General features: G+C 37.7%; 1 long non-coding RNA gene across 1 annotated transcript in view; it reads left to right on the plus strand.

Annotated features, from left to right (window-relative positions):
• Positions 1–20,548, plus strand: part of LOC100506207 (uncharacterized) — a 349,823-nt gene extending 329,275 nt beyond the window's left edge. Inside the window, exons 4-5 of the long non-coding RNA NR_038980.1 lie at positions 19,294–19,440; positions 20,220–20,548. This is a non-coding gene — a long non-coding RNA (uncharacterized LOC100506207). The remainder of the gene's footprint in view (positions 1–19,293; positions 19,441–20,219) is intronic.
• The last annotated feature ends 607 nt before the right edge of the window (positions 20,549–21,155 follow it).

Genomic DNA, 21,155 nt, shown 5'->3' on the forward strand with positions numbered 1-21,155 from the left:
TAGGGTGATTGCGAGTCCAGGCCCTGCTGAGCTGGGGCCAAGTGTTGAAATGAATGTTCCAAGCACTTGATGGTGTTGAATGATTCTAACTTAGAGATTGGAATGGAATTTTAGTGTATCTATTTTAAATTTCTTCAGGTTTAATATACAATCTAAAATTATGACAATTCAATCAGATATAGTCTCAGATAAACAAGTTTAAAAAACCAGACAAAAATCTCTGGAGGAGTTTATATAACTTGGCTCTGCTGCCTTCAAAATCCTTGTAAATAAGAAACCAAAATTCTGGGGTTGATACTTTTTCTTTAGAGTTATGAACATCCCATTTTTGGAGAAACAAAGGTTACCATAGATATTTCAATTGTTAGTATTATACATATCACCACTTTTTCTTTAGTTAATCTTGGGCCACGCTTTCTGAAACAGCCTCTCCCACATGCCAAGTATTGTATTTGACCTTTTCATGTCAATTATCTACTTTGTTCTTCACAGCAATCTTATAGACTGCATATTGATTCCAAATTTATAGATGGAAAAATATGGTTGAGAGGAGTTTCCTAAAGTATAATAGCTAGAAACAACAAAGTTGGGTTTCAAACATGGTTCTATCAAATTCAGGTCTGTATTATTTTCTGTCATCCCATTCATTCTCCCAGTGCCTGGGAACTGGATAAGAAAAAATAAAAATGACAAATCTATACTTTATTTTTGAATAGGTGCTAACTCCTAAAATTCAGAAGAGCTCTTTCTTAAGTGTACCAGTGATAGCCCAACTCAATATTGACTATTCTGCTGATTTTGTTAATTTGCTCAGAAGCCTAAATTACCTGCTAATAAAAGAAATAATATTGCACAACTGGACATTCCTAATGTTAGTTACATCTGGAGGTGATCTCATTAAACATTACAGATTTGGCTGTGTGTCTTGGGGGCTTTCTGAAATCCTAACTTTTTGCATCCTTGCCCTACAGGCACAGTTCATAAGCTCTAAATACATAGCCAGATTAGCCATAGCCATGACAAACAGGAACCTTTCCATTTAGGTTTTTCTCTATATTTTATTTGAACTTTGGAAACAGAAGCAAGTAGATTTGAAAATAAGATGTTTTAGGGGTAGAATTGTCCTAGTTTCTGTATTAAATGTTAAAATAACTAAAGACTGTAGACCCAAGAGATTTAAAGATGTTGTTTAATTTTCTAGTAGTAGAAGAAATGATTAACAGACCAACACTCTTTCAAAAGTTGATATAACACTTACATGAAAGAACCAGAGAAAATATTGGAAAGGATGGTGCCAGTTCAAGGGGCTTCAAGAACAAACTATCTCTCCATGTAGAAACTTTTCAGTGGTTGACTGTAAGGAAGGACACCAAAGAAACAGAAGAAGACAAATCCATGCTGACACGTTCTGCTGCTCCTGCATCCAGCTACAGGGGCTAAGGGCTTAGGGTGACTTTAATGCAAATTATGGTCCAATTTTGCAATTCCATTTTCACTTGAAAAATATAAACTGAGAAAGTGTCAAGATTCTTGTCCTAAGAAGTCTTCTTTAGAGTGAAAAAGGAACCGTACTGGGTATTGGTGGTACTAGTGCTAATCCAGACCATCTCTGGCTCACTATGTGACATAGGCAAGCCTATGGCTTGGTTCTTCTGTGGTCCCTGAGTTAAGGACTACTAGTGAAACTGCCTTACAGTTCAAAAAATGTCTCTATACGGGATCTCTAAGGTTTTTTTTTCCAACTCCAAACCTTTGTGAATCTCAGCCTGACTGGGTGCTAGGATAGGATTAACAAGAAATTAATAACCCTAGCTAGTAGTTTCAAATTGTAAAATCATAAAACATCTCTATGAAATGAACCTTATGCAATAGTACATATCTCACAAAACACTAGAAAGTATAATTGGCTCTCTTTATCCAGAAACAAAGGGCAGACTTAAATAGACTAGAAAGATTTAGACTCATATACCAAATACTAGCTAAGTTCAACTTCTTCTTCTTTCACATAAATACTGTATGACCTTAGAGGAACCATTTAGTGTTTCTTTATTTGTTTCCTGTCTGTAAGTTGAAGGGACTATGTTATGTGATTTAAATTCTTCAACATCTAAAAGCTGAAACAGTTCTCAATTATTTCATATGAAATGCATATCGATTTTGGGAAGCATGTTATGGGTAGCTGATAAGATAGGGGAAAGATCAAACTATATTGGAGGAAACCAAGAAATGCCCAATATTATAATTAAAGCAAGTCACCACATAACTTCTCATATACTTGAGTATAACTCTTCAAGCCCTCCTCAGCCTGCAAACATAGATCTTAAATTCTTAAGATTATAATAGATATCTATAAAATCAATTTGTTCAAGAGCTTTTCAATTTTATTGTTTAATTTGCTGGGACATTTTGGATAGCTATAGTTCACATGGAAGTTATTTAAAATCATAGGGTAGGGCCTTTTCAGGTTGACATAATTTATCTGTAGCTCTGCTTAGAAGCTGGGATATGGATGATATGACTTCTATAGGCCCCTGCATGTCCCAGGAATATATGGGTAATTGGTCTTAGCAGTGCTTGAACAGCACATGGTTTCAGTATAGAGTAGGCAGAATTTGACCCCAGAAAAACAGACAAAATTTTTATTTTTTTAAAATAAGAGCACTTGAAGAAAGCCTGAAATAAATCCAGAGTTACTATAAACAAAGTGGAGGGAGTCTTACTCATCACAGAGAAAAGTCAGGCTCATTAAAGAAGGTAATTATTACCTCTGACATACAGAACTGTGTGCTGCTTTAAATTAAGGTTCTTAACGAGGCATTTCATTGTATGTCCTTAACTGAAGGATTTAAGGAGGCCGACTGTCTTCCACAGTCAGTGGGAATGGGTGTTCTATGTTCATGAGCTTTACTGGTAAAGAATATTTCAGGAAAGAATAGTTCAGGAATTTAAATACACCAATGTTCACACAATTTCTGAACAGATTGCTGGTGTGCTGAAAGCCCACCCAAGCTATGTGCTTATAAGTGGAAAATTTAAACTTTGCCACATGCTAATGATATGCTAATGAATTTTCACGTTAGACAGATGACAAGAGCATGGTCTCTGTCCTTTTTCTGTTAATGTAATGAATGAGCTTGGACAAGCAGTTTTAAGAGGAAGTTGTAAACAGGTTGTAAATGTTTACATGTTTCCCTCATTTTTATTAGTTTGTTTATTTCACCTCTCTTGCTCAACAAATTTCTTTTTGTTCTTTCTGTATTGTATTGTTTATAGAATTTAAACATGCCCTCATGCTCTTGCAAGATGAGAATTTGTCTTGATCAGCAAGAAGAAACTTTATCTATCTCAAAGCCTCCCTTTATCAAAAAGTCTATATTGAGTACCAATATCAACTTCTCATGATGCTCATATACATAAATGTGTTATGTTTCGAGGAAAATAAATTGCTTTTCAGTGAATACATTTCTTTAAAAAGGCATATTTTACGGCTCTGCTTTTCCAAATTTAAAAATATCTCACCAAACCACAGTGCTATTATAAGAAATGAAACGGGGGTATTGCTCAAATCTAAAGTTTGCATTCTAACTCTTTTTCCAAGCATATAGCTAAATTCTGGAAAGCCTATAGCCCATTAACATGATTTCCCCAAGGATTTTTACCTGTTCCATCTAAGAGTAAGTGATAGTAGAGCAATTTTGTAACCTCATTTTCTCTATCTATCAGAAGAGCAGCAATGTCTACCAAGCACCCAAGAGACATGCTGGTCCAAGATAGAATCTATGATCTGTACCTACTATAGAGAAAAAAGTCTAAATCTTTCTAAACTTTCTTATACGAGAGCATTTGAGTGTGACCCATAATATTACCACCTGATTAAAATCCATTTCCAGTTAAATTACAAAGTCCTAGTGTTAATCACACACATCTCACCATGGGACTTTCAAGGTGGGTTCATATCCTTGGTAAGTGCTCAAATGTTCTCTAAGGTCAAATATCCTGTGACAGGAACCATTATGTCAGTGTTTGACACTGACCTAGCTTTAGTCAGTTCCATCATGATATCATGCTTAAAATATATGTTTAGTCTGTTTTTAAAATAAATACATCATTTTCTGATTCTGTTACATGCTATCGTTCCGATCTTGACAGTTGGTACAGTCTTTATTCTTCCCTGCTTTTCTCTGCCTTGTTTACAGATCATAGAGGTGATGTCCTACTTTGGGCCATTTTAATTAATCCAGTTTCTCCTTATATATTCCACATGATTTAAAATAAAAATTCAAGATACAAAATTTCTATTAAATTTTATATCTATAAAATTTCTATTAAATATTAAAATTCTCAGGGAATTTGGAGCTAAATATTTATGATGAAATATCCAGAATCTTTTGTGAATATAAAGGAAATAAATCCTTTGTACATTATGTGTAATATACATGTTTTACTATATTGCACATTTTATATATATATTCAATATAAATATATTTTATATTTATTACTATAGTGCACATTATACTTTTTTACTATAGAGTGCATTATATATATAACATAATTTTTTACTATATATTACTTACATATTTTATATATATATAATGTGCACTATAGTAAAATATGTATACTGCATGTAACGTACTAAGTAAATAAAGAGTTTTATCAAAAAGTTTAATTCTACCAATATGTCATCCATTTATTTAAAGTGATTCATTACATTAGTCAATGGCCAGATCTTCATGTCTCAATTCTGTGTAGGTACTTTAGAGACCACAAAGCCCAGAGAAAACATGCCTCAGATATGTTTCTTTAATAATATTCCATTTAAAGCCAGGCACGGTAACTCATACTTGTAATCCTAGCACTTTGGGGGGCTGAGGCAGGAGGACCCCTTGAGCCCAGGAGTTCAAGACCAGCCTGGGCAAAACAGTGAGGTCTGATCTCTTCAAAATATGTATATTCCATTTAAATACATATTCATAATTATTTCATTAAATTGCAATATTAAATCCCTGAAAGATATTACAGGTGCTCTCATTTTCCCCATAGCTATTTATACCTAAATCATGTACCTTAAATCATTTATAGGTCACTTTTCTCATCTGTGAGTTGAAAGGGTTATAGGACACATGTTCTTGTCATATTTGGGGATTACTGAGAGAATTCCCTGGACAATGTCTATTGATAGTCGTGGTTATCATGTAAAAGCTAATAGTTCATGAGGCTCTAGACTTTTTCTAATCCTGATTTTATAGATGAGAATATAGAAGTTCTAAAAAGTTTAAGCTCAACTCAAAGTGAATATCCAATTTATCAATAATTTAAATAAAAGAAGAAAAGCTTATGATTTGAATTTCATGATCCTTCACCTTCTGATTTTTTTGCAATAAAATATCTCTAGAATTATGAACAAATATAAATAATTTGAGACAATCTAGTATGTTCTTTTAAAGTAGAAATTCCTACAGTTATCAAACATACTAGTGAAAGCTCATTGCCACAGTTTTTGATGTTTGCACTTGGACTTAGAGGCAAACATACCCCTATAAACTTCAAGACTCTACAAGTCCTTCGTGTGAACTATTTCTTTTTTTTTTTTTTTTTTTTTATTTATTTTTTTATTATACTTTAAGTTTTAGGGTACATGTGCACATTGTGCAGGTTAGTTACATATGTATACATGTGCCATGCTGGTACGCTGCACCCACTAACTTGTCATCTAGCATTAGGTATATCTCCCAGTGCTATCCCTCCCCCCTCCCCCCACCCCACAACAGTCCCCAGAGTGTGATATTCCCCTTCCTGTGTCCATGTGATCTCATTGTTCAATTCCCACCTATGAGCGAGAATATGCGGTGTTTGGTTTTTTGTTCTTGCGATAGTTTACTGAGAATGATGATTTCCAATTTCATCCATGTCCCTACAAAGGACATGAACTCATCATTTTTTATGGCTGCATAGTATTCCATGGTGTATATGTGCCACATTTTCTTAATCCAGTCTATCATTGTTGGACATTTGGGTTGGTTCCAAGTCTTTGCTATTGTGAATAATGCCGCAATAAACATACATGTGCATGTGTCTTTATAGCAGCATGATTTATAGTCCTTTGGGTATATACCCAGTAATGGGATGGCTGGGTCAAATGGTATTTCTAGTTCTAGATCCCTGAGGAGTCACCACACTGACTTCCACAACGGTTGAACTAGTTTACAGTCCCACCAACAGTGTAAAAGTGTTCCTATTTCTCCACATCCTCTCCAGCACCTGTTGTTCCCTGACTTTTTAATGATTGCCATTCTAACTGGTGTGAGATGGTATCTCATTGTGGTTTTGATTTGCATTTCTCTGATGGCCAGTGATGATGAGCATTTTTTCATGTGTTTTTTGGCTGCATAAATGTCTTCTTTTGAGAAGTGTCTGTTCATGTCCTTCGCCCACTTTTTGATGGGGTTGTTTGTTTTTTTCTTGTAAATTTGTTTGAGTTCATTGTAGATTCTGGATATTAGCCCTTTGTCAGATGAGTAGGTTGCGAAAATTTTCTCCCATTTTGTAGGTTGCCTGTTCACACTGATGGTAGTTTCTTTTGCTGTGCAGAAGCTCTTTAGTTTACTTAGATCCCATTTGTCAATTTTGTCTTTTGTTGCCATTGCTTTTGGTGTTTTGGACATGAAGTCCTTGCCCATGCCTATATCCCGAATGGTAATGCCTAGGTTTTCTTCTAGGGTTTTATGGTTTTAGGTCTAACGTTTAAGTCTTTAATCCATCTTGAATTGATTTTTGTATAAGGTGTAAGAAAGGGATCCAGTTTCAGCTTTCTACATATGGCTAGCCAGTTTTCCCAGCACCATTTATTAAATAGGGAATCCTTTCCCCATTGCTTGTTTTTCTCAGGTTTGTCAAAGATCAGATAGTTGTAGATATGCGGCGTTATTTCTGAGGGCTCTGTTCTGTTCCATTGATCTATATCTCTGTTTTGGTACCAGTACCATGCTGTTTTGGTTACTGTAGCCTTGTAGTATAGTTTGAAGTCAGGTAGTGTGATGCCTCCAGCTTCGTTCTTTTGGCTTAGGATTGCCTTGGCGATGCGGGCTCTTTTTTTGGTTCCATATGAACTTTAAAGTAGTTTTTTCCAATTCTGTGAAGAAAGTCATTGGTAGCTTTATGGGGATGGCATTGAATCTGTAAATTACCTTGGGCAGTATGGCCATTTTCATGATATTGATTCTTCCTACCCATGAGCATGGAATGTTCTTCCATTTGTTTGTATCCTCTTTTATTTCCTTGAGCAGTGGTTTGTAGTTCTCCTTGAAGAGGTCCTTCACATCCCTTGTAAGTTGGATTCCTAGGTATTTTATTCTCTTTGAAGCAATTGTGAATGGGAGTTCACTCATGATTTGGCTCTCTGTTTGTTGTTGGTGTATAAGAATGCTTGTGATTTTTGCACGTTGATTTTGTATCCTGAGACTTTGCTGAAGTTGCTTATCAGCTTAAGGAGATTTTGGGCTGAGACAATGGGGTTTTCTAGATATACAGTCATGTCGTCTGCGAACAGGGACAATTTGACTTCCTCTTTTCCTAATTGAATACCCTTTATTTCCTTCTCCTGCCTAATTGCCCTGGCCAGAACTTCCAACACTATGTTGAATAGGAGTGGTGAGAGAGGGCATCCCTGTCTTGTGCCAGTTTTCAAAGGGAATGCTTCCAGTTTTTGCCCATTTAGTATGATATTGGCTGTGGGTTTGTCATAGATAGCTCTTATTATTTTGAAATACGTCCCATCAATACCTAATTTATTGAGAGTTTTTAGCATGAAGGGTTGTTGAATTTTGTCAAAGGCCTTTTCTGCATCTATTGAGATAATCATGTGGTTTTTGTCTTTGGCTCTGTTTATATGCTGGATTACATTTATTGATTTGCGTATATTGAACCAGCCTTGCATCCCAGGGATGAAGCCCACTTGATCATGGTGGATAAGCTTTTTGATGTGCTGCTGGATTCATTTTGCCAGTATTTTATTGAGGATTTTTGCATCAATGTTCATCAAGGATATTGGTCTAAAATTCTCTTTTTTGGTTGTGTCTCTGCCCGGCTTTGGTATTAGAATGATGCTAGCCTCATAAAATGAGTTAGGGAGGATTCCCTCTTTTTCTATTGATTGGAATAGTTTCAGAAGGAATGGTACCAGTTCCTCCTTGTACCTCTGGTAGAATTCGGCTGTGAATCCATCTGGTCCTGGACTCTTTTTGGTTGGTAAACTATTGATTATTGCCACAATTTCAGCTCCTGTTATTGGTCTATTCAGAGATTCAACTTCTTCCTGGTTTAGTCTTGGGAGAGTGTATGTGTCGAGGAATTTATCCATTTCTTCTAGATTTTCTAGTTTATTTGCATAGAGGTGTTTGTAGTATTCTCTGATGGTAGTTTGTATTTCTGTGGGATCGGTGGTGATATCCCCTTTATCATTTTTTATTGTGTCTATTTGATTCTTCTCTTTTTCTTTATTAGTCTTGCTAGCGGTCTATCAATTTTGTTGATCCTTTCAAAAAACCAGCTCCTGGATTCATTAATTTTTTGAAGGGTTTTTTGTGTCTCTATTTCCTTCAGTTCTGCTCTGATTTTAGTTATTTCTTGCCTTCTGCTAGCTTTTGAATGTGTTTGCTCTTGCTTTTCTAGTTCTTTTAATTGTGATGTTAGGGTGTCAATTTTGGATCTTTCCTGCTTTCTCTTGTGGGCATTTAGTGCTATAAATTTCCCTCTACACACTGCTTTGAATGCATCCCAGAGATTCTGGTATGTTGTGTCTTTGTTCTCGTTGGTTTCAAAGAACATCTTTATTTCTGCCTTCATTTCGTCATGTATCCAGTAGTCATTCAGGAGCAGGTTGTTCAGTTTCCATGTAGTTGAGCGGTTTTGAGTGAGATTCTTAATTCTGAGTTCCAGTTTGATTGCACTGTGGTCTGAGAGATAGTTTGTTATAATCTCTGTTCTTTTACATTTGCTGAGGAGAGCTTTACTTCCAAGTATGTGGTCAATTTTGGAATAGGTGTGGTGTGGTGCTGAAAAAAATGTATATTCTGTTGATTTGGCGTGGAGACTTCTGTAGATGTCTATTAGGTCCGCTTGGTGCAGAGCTGAGTTCAATTCCTGGGTATCCTTGTTGACTTTCTGTCTCGTTGATCTGTCTAATGTTGACAGTGGGGTGTTAAAGTCTCCCATTATTAATGTGTGGGAGTCTAAGTCTCTTTGTAGGTCACTCAGGACTTGCTTTATGAATCTGGGTGCTCCTGTATTGGGTGCATATATATTTAGGATAGTTAGCTCTTCTTGTTTAATTGATCCCTTTACCATTATGTAATGGCCTTCTTTGTCTCTTTTGATCTTTGTTGGTTTAAAGTCTGTTTTATCAGAGGCTAGGATTGCAACCCCTGCCTTTTTTTGTTTTCCATGGCTTGGTAGATCTTCCTCCATCCTTTTATTTTGAGCCTATGTGTGTCTCTGCACGTGAGATGGGTTTCCTGAATACAGCACACTGATGGGCCTTGACTCTTTATCCAATTTGCCAGTCTGTGTCTTTTAATTGGAGCATTTAGTCCATTTACATTTAAAGTTAATATTGTTATGTGTGAATTTGATCCTGTCATTATGATGTTAGCTCGTTATTTTGCTCGTTAGTTGATGCAGTTTCTTCCTAGTCTCGATGGTCTTTACATTTTGGCATGATTTTGCAGCAGCTGGTACCGGTTGTTCCTTTCCATGTTTAGCGCTTCCTTCAGGAGCTCTTTTAGGGCAGGCCTGGTGGTGACAAAATCGCTCAGCATTTGCTTGTCTGTAAAGTATTTTATTTCTCCTTCACTTATGAAGCTTAGTTTGGCTGGATATGAAATTCTGGGTTGAAAATTCTTTTCTTTAAGAATGTTGAATATTGGCCCCCACTCTCTTCTGGCTTGCAGGGTTTCTGCTGAGAGATCCGCTGATAGTCTGATAGGCTTCCCTTTGAGGGTAACCCGACCTTTCTCTCTGGCTGCCCTTAACATTTTTTCCTTCATTTCAACTTTGGTGAATCTGACAATTATGTGTCTTGGAGTTGCTCTTCTCGAGGAGTATCTTTGTGGCGTTCTCTGTATTTCCTGAATCTGAACGTTGGCCTGCCTTGCTAGATTGGGGAAGTTCTCCTGGATAATATCCTGCAGAGTGTTTTCCAACTTGGTTCCATTCTCCCCATCACTTTCAGGTACACCAATCAGACGGAGATTTGGTCTTTTCACATAGTCCCATATTTCTTGGAGGCTTTGCTCATTTCTTTTTATTCTTTTTTCTCTAAACTTCCCTTCTCGCTTCATTTCATTCATTTCATCTTCCATCACTGATACCCTTTCTTCCAGTTGATCGCATCGGCTCCTGAGGCTTCTGCATTCTTCACGTAGTTCTCGAGCCTTGGTTTTCAGCTCCATCAGCTCCTTTAAGCACTTCTCTGTATTGGTTATTCTAGTTATACATTCTTCTAAATTTTTTTCAAAGTTTTCAACTTCTTTGCCTTTGGTTTGAATGTCCTCCCGTAGCTCAGAGTAATTTGATCGTCTGAAGCCTTCTTCTCTCAGCTCGTCAAAGTCATTCTCCATCCAGCTTTGTTCTGTTGCTGGTGAGGAACTGCGTTCCTTTGGAGGAGGAGAGGTGCTCTGCGTTTTAGAGTTTCCCGTTTTTCTGTTCTCTTTTTTCCCCATCTTTGTGGTTTTATCTACTTTTGGTCTTTGATGATGGTGATGTACAGATGGGTTTTTGGTGTGGATGTCCTTTCTGTTTGTTAGTTTTCCTTCTAACAGACAGGACCCTCAGCTGCAGGTCAGTTGGAATACCCTGCCGTGTGAGGTGTCAGTGTGCCCCTTCTGGGGGGTGCCTCCCAGTTAGGCTGCTCGGGGGTCAGGGGTCAGGGACCCACTTGAGGAGGCAGTCTGCCCATTCTCAGATCTCCAGCTGCGTGCTGGGAGAACCACTGCTCTCTTCAAAGCTCTCAGACAGGGACATTTAAGTCTGCAGAGGTTACTGCTGTCTTTTTGTTTGTCTGTGCCCTGCCCCCAGAGGTGGAGCCTACAGAGGCAGGCAGGCCTCCTTGAGCTGTGGTGGGCTCCACCCAGTTCGCGCTTCCCGGCTGCTTTGTTTACCTAAGCAAGCCTGGGCAATGGCGGGCGCCCCTCCCCCAGCCTCGCTGCCGCCTTGCAGTTTGATCTCAGACTGCTGTGCTAGCAATCAGGGAGACTCCGTGGGCGTAGGACCCTGCGAGCCAGGTGCCGGATATAATCTCGTGGTGCGCTGTTTTTTAAGCCGGTCGGAAAAGCGCAGTATTCGGGTGGGAGTGACCCGATTTTCCAGGTGCCGTCTGTCACCCCTTTCTTTGACTCAGAAAGGGAACTCCCTGACCCCTTGCGCTTCCCAAGTGAGGCAATGCCTCGCCCTGCTTCGGGTCGCGCACGGTGCGCGCACCCACTGACCTGCGCCCACTGTCTGGCACTCCCTAGTGAGATGAACCCGGTACCTCAGATGGAAATGCAGAAATCACCCGTCTTCTGCGTCGCTCACGCTGTAGACCGGAGCTGTTCCTATTCGGCCATCTTGGCTCCTCCCCCCCGTGTGAACTATTTCTAAGGACGTTTTGGCAACTGAGTTTTAGAGATATTTCAAAAAAACTTTAGCATTAGTATTTAAGGGATCTTTTAAAAGCTTTCATTTTACACTTTTGTTACCCCCCTCCCCAAGTACAAGCTTATGGCTGCTCATGTGAAGTTGGAGACAAGGCAAAGTACACTCTCAAATCACCTTCCCATGTAACTGTGCTTATTTTGGGGAACAGCTGTACACCTCTATTCTCAGCAGAGTCAGCTGAAGCTAATGGCTCTTTTGCTCTGAATCTTACCATCTTACCTTTTAAGTCCTTTCAGGACATCATTCACAATCGCATCACAACCATCTTCAGATCCGCTACTCTCCTTAAGCATATTCAATTTCCATCACTGTGAAAACCAAATGAAATTCTATTACTTAATATTGCCCCTGCTCATGACTATCATGGACACTATATCTTTTTCTTTTTTTTCATTGCCAACTTCAGGAATATTGCATAACTAACTGATTATCCATTCATTCATTCCTAGATTCAACCATTTATTAAGAATGTTAATTGGTGGGGCTGGGCGCGGTGGCTCACCCCTGTAATCCCAGCACTTTGGGAGGCCGAGGAGGGCGGATCACGAGGTCAGGAGATCGAGACCATGGTGAAACCCCGTCTCTAATAAAAATACAAAAAATTAGCTGGGTGCTGTGGCGGGTGCCTGTAATCCCAGCTAAGCGGGAGGCTGAGGCAGGAGAATGGCGTGAACCCGGAAAGCCGAGCTTGCAGTGAGCCGAGATCGTGCCACTGCACTCCAGCCTGGGCGACAGAGCGAGACTCTGTCTCAAAAAAAAAGGATTTTGTTTTTACAGCACCAAACTACATTTGGTCCTTCACTAAAACTCAGGTTAATAAGAAATGATGTGTTGCAAAAGATTCCTTGAATCCCATTTAATTGTGATCAAATTTCTTATTTTCATTTCTCTTTTTAAATAATAATAGATTGTCTAGAAAAAGAAAATAGCTAAATGTAAATCCAGATGTAAGCAGTGTCTTAGATAGCAATGCTTTTATTCCTTTATTATAATATTGTCATTGAAAAAAATTCTAATATTTCTCATCTTTAAGTCCTACTGCTAGTTGTGGGTTAATTCCATGCCATATGTTGTTTTTCTTCAGTTTCATTAGTAATCTGCTTTTTCATCTATGACACATCACTTCTGGCCCTTACTTTGTCCCAGAGAACTCTCTGCACCATTCTCTATGGTTTGTGCCACTAAGGTGACCCACTGGACAGAGTGCTGGGAGCAAAGAAAGACATGACTTATGGAAAATATGATCTGTGTCCTCATGTTCTCCAGTTTTAAATATACTTCATATAGAAAATAAAAATAGTTTTTTGAAAAGAAAAAAAAAAGAATGTTAATTGGACATCTGATACTGTGCTAGGGCAGTGGGGAAAACCTTTTGGCTGCTGCTGTCCCTGCCACCAAGACACACAGCACAGTGCTCAGCGTATAGTAAATGATTAATAAACAGGAGTTCTCCCACCTGCCCCCCACTTCCATTTTCTCTCCACATTCACCATTTTCCTTCCTTGTTTATTTAATATTATCAGCCATTTTTTCTTCGTGTAAATAGCACATATGCAAAATTTGGACAAGTAAAAAAATTCACCCTTGTAATCATACCGTCTTAATTACAACCCTTTTTTTTTTATCCTTCTTTACGGGAGTTGTTTTTAGTGCATATATATTTTCATGTTGCAGCTTTATATTAATGTCATGGTTGCTTATGCTAATGCATACTTGCTTTATCTTGTCCAAAAATCCAAACAACAGAGAAAAGTGTAAATAATTGAGTAAAAATGAAATGCAAGCCTTTTATCCTAAGATATCATCTCAACCTTTCAGTGATTGTGAATTTATTTATTTTCCCATGCATATATATGTAATTTCATATGGACTGAATATTGTTTAGTGTCCAAATATTTAAAAATTATGCCTGTAATATCTGAAGACACTGTAAATATAAAAATTTCAGGGAATAAAACCTATTTTGAGTTAAATCAAAGTTCCTCCCATGGAGTTGCCATCCAGTTTGATGTGGTCTTTTAAGTCGTTTTCAACAAAATTATAGCTAGAAGTAAATATTTAAATATATTAACAACATAATTGGGTTAGTACTAAATGTATTTTTCTGCAGCCCGCTTAATATAACAATGTGTTTTCAACATAGTACGATAGTAATGCATTTAGATTAACCTCATTGAATGTATTCATTTTAAAATTTTTAGCTAACTAATACATATAAATACATTTAAAAGCACTGACAACTATAAGGCTTGAAAATAAAAATAGCAGTTGTTGGTCTTACCCCTCTCTAACTTACTACTCAGAAATTCTTTTGGACATTTTCTCTGACATGAAAATCTGTTTTGCAAAATAACGTGCATGCATTCTTATTTCTGGACTTTATTTTATATGTTGTTTATTGGTTTCTTACAACAGAAGAATCTTTCCTAAGGAACTCTCTAACCCCCCTCATCTTTTTTCACCTGCCTGCCCTATTTCAATTACAATTTTTGTATTAAATCACTAGTCCCTGTTTACAGTATAACAACTAGATGCATATTGTTCATAGTTAAGTAATGCAGAGTACTACAATTACATTCCCTTTCTTATATTCTTCGGAGGTTAATAATTGTCTTAATTTGTGTTGTTTTCTTATATTCCCTGCGTATTTATTACTGATTTATCTTCAGATTCTTTGACAGCACTATAGCATCCTTATTGATACGGTAAACTTTAATACTAAGATATTCACCTGTAAGCTTTCAAGATCTTCCTTTTCTCTGGGAGTCTAGGCCTTGAAATTTTTAAAAAATATATTTAGTGGGTACTGCTGAGGATTTCTTGCATGCATATATTGCATAGTGGTGAGGTCTGGGCTTTTAGTACACCCATCTCCTAAATAGTGAGCATTGTACCCAGTGGGTCATTTTTCAACCTTCATCCTGCTCTCCCATGTTTCGGAGTCAGCATCTACTATTCCCCTCTGTATGTTCATGTGGGCCCATTATTTAGCTCCCATGTATAAGTGAGGACGTGCAGTGTTTGACTTTCTATTTTTGAGTGATTTCAGTTAGGATAATGGCTTCCAGTGCCATCCATGTTGCTGCATAAGACATGGTCTCATTCTTTTTTATGGCTGAGAAGTATAGTGTTTTCTTTTCTTTTCTTTTCTTTTCTTTTGAGACAGGGTCTCACTCTGTCACCCAGGCTGTAGTCTCAACCTCCTGGGTTCAGGTGATCCTCACACCTCAGCCTCCCGAGTAGCTGAAACTACAGGCACATGCTACCACACCTGGCTAATTTTTAAATTTTTTTGTAGAGATGGGGTCTCCCTATATTGCCCAGGCTGGGCTTGAACTCCTGGACTTGAACGATCCTCCAGCTTTGGCCTCCCAAAATGCTGAGATTACAGGCGTGAGCCACCATGCTTGGCAGCTGAAGTATGTATGTATGTATGTATGTATGTATGTATGTATGTATGTATGTATGTGTTATTATTACTATTATTTGAGACAGGATCTTGCTCTGTTGCCCAGGCTGGAGTGCAGTGGGACAATCATAGTTCACTGCAGCTTCGACCTCCCAGGCTCAAGCCCTCTTCCTACCTCAGCCTCCCACATACCTGGGACCATAGGCCCATACCATCATGCCTGGCTGATTTTTGTATTTTTATTTTTGTAGAGACAGAGTTTTGCTATGTTACCCAGGCTAGTCCCAAACTCCTGAATTCAAGCAATCTGCCAACCTCAGCCTTCCAAAGTGCTGGGATTGCAGGCATGAGCCACTACACCCAGCCTGAAGTATGTATTTTAAATGACACATTTTGGTGGAGTCCTTTCATTCAATGAGTTGAATGTTTCTTGGGCCCTTCAATGTGGTAAGAAATGCTTTGGGTTATTTTTAATTTTGAGATGTTTCTGTTATTTCTTTAAGGGATTTCTTCCTTCTGAGTTTGTTGTTCTCTCTGTAGCTCCTAAATTGATTCTTTTTTATCCATTTTTTTCATTTTCATATATTTTTGTTTTATCTTTTGTGTTTTCTTCTATTGTATCTTCCAGTCCTTAAGTAGCATTTTTGATTTATTTTGTACTAGTTGGTAATTTCTGAGAGTAATTGTTTTCTGAATATTCCTTTTATTTAATAGTATTCTTCCTGGTTTCATGAATCTTCTCTTACTTTCTCACTTATTTTTCGAGGTTATCAATTCCAGGGTTGTTTTGTTGTTCTTTTGCATTTGCTCATTTGTTTTTTTAGCTTTCACTTCCTCTCTTAATGGTCTCATTTTCTCTGAGTTCCTTTTCTATCTCCTTTGATCTTTGTCTTTCATGTTGGAGACTTTAAAACATGTTGCATTATTCTGGATCTCCGTTCATATTCCAAAATGATGCAGTGATACACTAAAAGAAAGTCCTGGGCAAGTAAGTGGGTGTGATTTGTTGACCATGTAGAAACTCAACCTTTTGGTTGGAGGCTTCCAAATGCCAGTTGATGTAGGTATTTTCTCCTAGACTGGGAAATTTTCCCAGGGGTAAACCCTCTAATCTCTCATCTGTGAGAGCAGGGGGAGATGGTAAGGAAGACAGTTTAAATGTAGTCTGTCTGGCTGTTAGGGATCGGGGTATGCCAGAGGATGAGTATGTAGGAGGAGGTGGGGGGATTCTTATAAGAAAGAGATTTCACTCTCTCTCTTTCTGGTGCTTCACTCTTTTTTTTTTTTTTTTTTTTTGAGTCGGAGTCTCGCTTTGTCGCCCAGGCTGGAATGCAGTGGTGTGATCTCGGCTCACTGCAGTGGTGCTTCACTCTTATGTTCAACTGTGTCTGATGTCTGTGAGCCCAGAGCTTCTCTGGTTCAAAGTATTTCCATAGTAAATATCCCGTCTCCTGTAGGGTGGCAGAAATGTTGTTCCTTATCAGATAGGAGAGAGCATTTGGAGTGTACAGTTTTTTTTTAAGTTTTATTTTGTGTTTAGTTGATACATGATTGTACGTACTTTTTGGGTACGGTGTGATGTTTTGATACATGTAGACATTGCATAAGGATCACATTATTATTGCATAAGGATATCCATCATCTCTACCACTTGTCATTTCTTTGTGGTGAGAACATTAAAAATCCTCTCTTCTAGCTATTTTGAAATATACAATACATTTTTGTTAATTACAGTCACCCTCCTGTGTAATAGAACAGCAGACGTTATTCCTCTTAGCTAACTGTAACTTTATACTTGTTCACCAACCTCTCCCCATGCCACATCCCTCATCCCCTCCCCAGCCTCTGGTAATAACCATTCTACTCTCTACTTCTATGAACAACTCATTAGATTCCCCATATGAGTGAGATCATGGGGTATTATCAATTCCCCTTTTCTCATTCATCCTGTGTCTTTGCCTCTATATGTACCCACTGCCTCTAATTTTTGAGATATTCTGGAATTGCTTGGTGAAAATTAACTTGCTTCCTGTTTGGCCCTGAATAGAGTGGAGAGGCTGATACCTAAGCTTGCTATCATATAGCTATCACTTTCCATTTTCCTGAGTAGTCTTGAAATCTTTCATCTGCTACCATTTTTTTCTTAAATACTTTTTAATTTTGTGATGTTTTCCTTTTTCCTTTAATTTAATTTTGTAATGTTTTCCTTTTCCCTTTACTGTCATTTTAATAAAATTTCATAAGTGAACAAAGATAAATATCTGCATTCACCTTGACTAATTAAATAATTCCATTCCATTACTTTCTTAAATATTAATGATGGCATCGTTCTCCAAATCATTGCTTATATACCATATTGATCCTTGATTTTTTTTTTTTTTTTTTGAGACGGAATCTAGCTCTCTTGGCCAGGCTGGAGTGCAATGGCATGATCTCAGCTCACTGCAACCCCTCCGCCTCCCAGGCTCAAGCAATTCTCCTGCCTCAGCCTCTCGAGTAGCTGGAACTACAGGCGTGTGCCACCATGCCCGGCTAATTTTTGTATTTTTAGTAGAGATGGGGTTTTATCATGTTGGCCAGCTGGTCTCAAACTCCTGAGCTCAAGTGATTCACCCACCTTGGCCTTCCAAAGTGCTGGGATTTCTGGTGTGAGCCACTACACCCAGCCTGATCCTTGATTTTCCATGACACTTGGCATTACTTACAATTTACCTCTGGGTTGCGTGACACTGTAGCTTCCTAGTTCTTCTTCTATGTCTGTTTGTTCCTGATCTCTTTTTCAGATTTCTCATATCTTTCTCAATTCCAAAGGTTTGAATGAGATAACATATGTTAGTCACTTATTGTGCTGTGTAGCATAAAACCATAAACAATCTTGGGAATTACTTCACATAATCTTTTACTTATCCTTATCATGATGCTTACAAATTGAATTGTAATTTCACTGAGGTCAGGATTGAAGTTTAATTTGCCTCTGTGTGTTTAACACCTAGAACCATGGTCCATATGTGTGTATATAAAAACATATAATATGCATTGAGTGTTTGTAGAGGGAAGCAAAAAGGACAAGAAGAGACACAAGAAGAAAGGAATTGATGTCATTTGCAAAAATGTATAAATTAACCATGTAATATAAAAATAATCAGGATGATTTATTTAGCTTGCTAACAATTTAAAATAAGAAAAACACATATTTTGGGTGAAAATATCATCAGAGTTTTTATAAAAACTCATAGACAGAAGTGGAAAGTTTCATTCAGATTCATGGCTTTCACACTTTTCACACTTTGTTAGCCTCACTGCTATAATTAGTTTCAATCTCCTAGATTGCATAGCACAACTTATGCCAGTAACACCAAAAATACACACACACACACACACACACACACATGCACACACAACATAAACACATGTAAATGTAACTAAAACCTACCAGAAATCATATATCTTGTTCAGAAGTGTTTTAATAAGTCAAATGCATGAAAAATAGCTAATTATATAAAATTTATCTTTTTAAAATTGCATTGAAATGGCTGATAGAAGAGGATACAAAGGGACCCTCCCCACATTGATCCTCCCCACCTCCCAGCCTTTACCCAGAGATAGTTGTAGAATTAGTCCTATAGGGCAGGAATGGAAAGGCCAGGCTCATCCATGTGAGGAGAGAGCAGGTAAGTTGTGGGTTTTTTGAGGGGAATCTACTGTTTCATTTAAAAAATGTCAACATAAAACAAACAAACAAAGACTATATAGGGGACATTTCACATTTTATCTGCACCTACCTAAAGCATTTGAGTATTATTGTCCAGAACTTGCTGTATATTCTTTAGTTGTTTCTTTTCCATGCATCCTTTTTCTTTGAGGTTTTCCTCAAGAGCAGAATGCTTCTAAGTTGCTAGACAAATTCTTGATAACCCAATAAGGCCACCAGTCAGTATGTTTCCTGTCTCCCTACTAGGAGCAGTTTGAACATCTTTGTCCAATTTCTGGAATAAAACATCTGAGAAATGACAGTTCACAGTATATGTTAAAACAAATAAATTTTCTGTCCAATTCCTGGAATAAAACATGAGAAATGACAGTTCACAGTATCCGTTAAAACAAATAAATTTACAGGAATACTTAAAATTCATACAATGTGAGATTTTTTCCAGAAACAAGTCATACCCACTCATTCCTAAGTTAACCAACAGGACACAGCCCTGGTGATGGCTTTCTGAGGATGACACGATGGAGGCTTCTCCAATAGCTCTAAAACTGCGGTGTGGAAAACATTCGGCAGCCTCAAAGAGCGGTCTTGTTGACCCCAACTATATCATTTTTCATCAAAATCATTCTTGGTAAGTCTTATGCCCAAGGAGTTATTTTCCTTAGCAACATCATGGTATGGAGGGATTTGCTATAGGATAGGTCCTGAATATTCTTGCTTTTTTTCTGACTTAACTTTGAAAAGAAGTCCTAGACTAAATTCAACCCTGCTCTTTCAAATAGCTTCCTCAAAAATATAAAAAAAATCTTTTAAGTCTGCTTTTCTCTGCACATGGCCCTCTACACAACATCCATAGATACAGTAGAGACATAGATGAAAGATGGGTGTAACCGAGAACAGGTTTGTATACCAATTTCCATAATTATCAATGTATCAGATTTTATAGATTGATAAGGAAGCGTGGGCCCCAAGGTAGGCATTATCTTTGGCCTGTTGATTGTCCACTGGCAAAGTCTGTAATTTTGAAGTTGTATTAACAACAACAGGTTGTTGCATCATCTAACACAAATGAATGCATCCATTTGGAATATACAAGAGAAGACCATATGATTCTGAGGAAGGGGCTCGAAGCACTCTCTTCTGGGGAATTCAACTTCATATCAGTGAGGTGAAGTGGATATAAGAAAAATGCTGTGTGTGTGGAGAGCATTAAGAAAGGTCATATATTTCAAAAAAGAATATTGTTTACAAGGAGTGTTAATAGGTTTCAGGGGAAATGTTAATTTTTTTTCCTGGATGAAATAGCTACTGCAAGTTTTTAATGGTTAATCATTCATTCTTGAATTTTTATATTAAGCATTTCATATTACTTTATTGACTTAACTTTTATGCTCTTCTTCATTTTGACAGTAAAGAATGACCAGGCAACACTCTTTGAAAATTGGAGGCCATTTGCAGCTGCTCTCTGTTGAGGAAAGTGAATAATAGGGTGCCCTCAAGGAATTGCAAAGGTATCACTCAACAGAAACTTTCGTGTCTGAAGAAAACTAGATCATTTTATCATGGTAGGCATGCTGATATGTTTGCTTTAATAAAATGCCATATTTCTGCCTTTAATCTCTTGTCAACCCGCTATTAAAAAGCCCCAAAGTGCATGTGTGCAGCGCATGTAAACACTTGTGGTTTTGAGGTTACCACAGAACATACTAATAAAGCATGTAATTTGTGTTTTGTGCACAGACTGTAATAATTTATTGAGTGGTACAGAGAAGCTAGAAAAGGATTTTCTCTAACTTTTGCCAGCAAGTCAATTTATTTTTAGTGCTCTATGCAGAAGTACATGTATACACATGTTCTTATGATTACATCATGTTTAAAAAGCATTAGGGAGCCTGCATAACAAAATGGGACAAAACATAAATTCATTTTGCACATACGGAAGACATTCTATCAAGCATGCTAATGTTCCTCCTATAAGCTGATCAGCTGGGAGGTGTGGCATATATTCTTCCACAAAGGGTGTGTGTTTGTGTGTGTGTGTGTGTGCATGTTTGTGTGCGTGTTGAGCACTGACAATACATTAGCAGAGTATAGATCAAGTAAGTTCAAGTAAATTAAGACGAATAATAATAGCAAGAACTTTTATAAACTTTACCAACTTTATCCCCAGTCCCCCTGGGGGAGGAGGGCAGAGAACAATGTTGTTCCTTCTTTTATATGGAATAACAAAACGTATAATGGTTGGGTCACTTCTAGAGGGTCCTAGAAGAGCTCATTGCCAGACTACAGCTTCCACCATGATTGTTTGGGTAGCCAATTTATCTGTTTATGTAAGATCCTTACAGG

This window comes from Homo sapiens, chromosome 6, assembly GCF_000001405.40.
Source record: "Homo sapiens chromosome 6, GRCh38.p14 Primary Assembly".
NCBI lineage: Eukaryota > Metazoa > Chordata > Mammalia > Primates > Hominidae > Homo > Homo sapiens.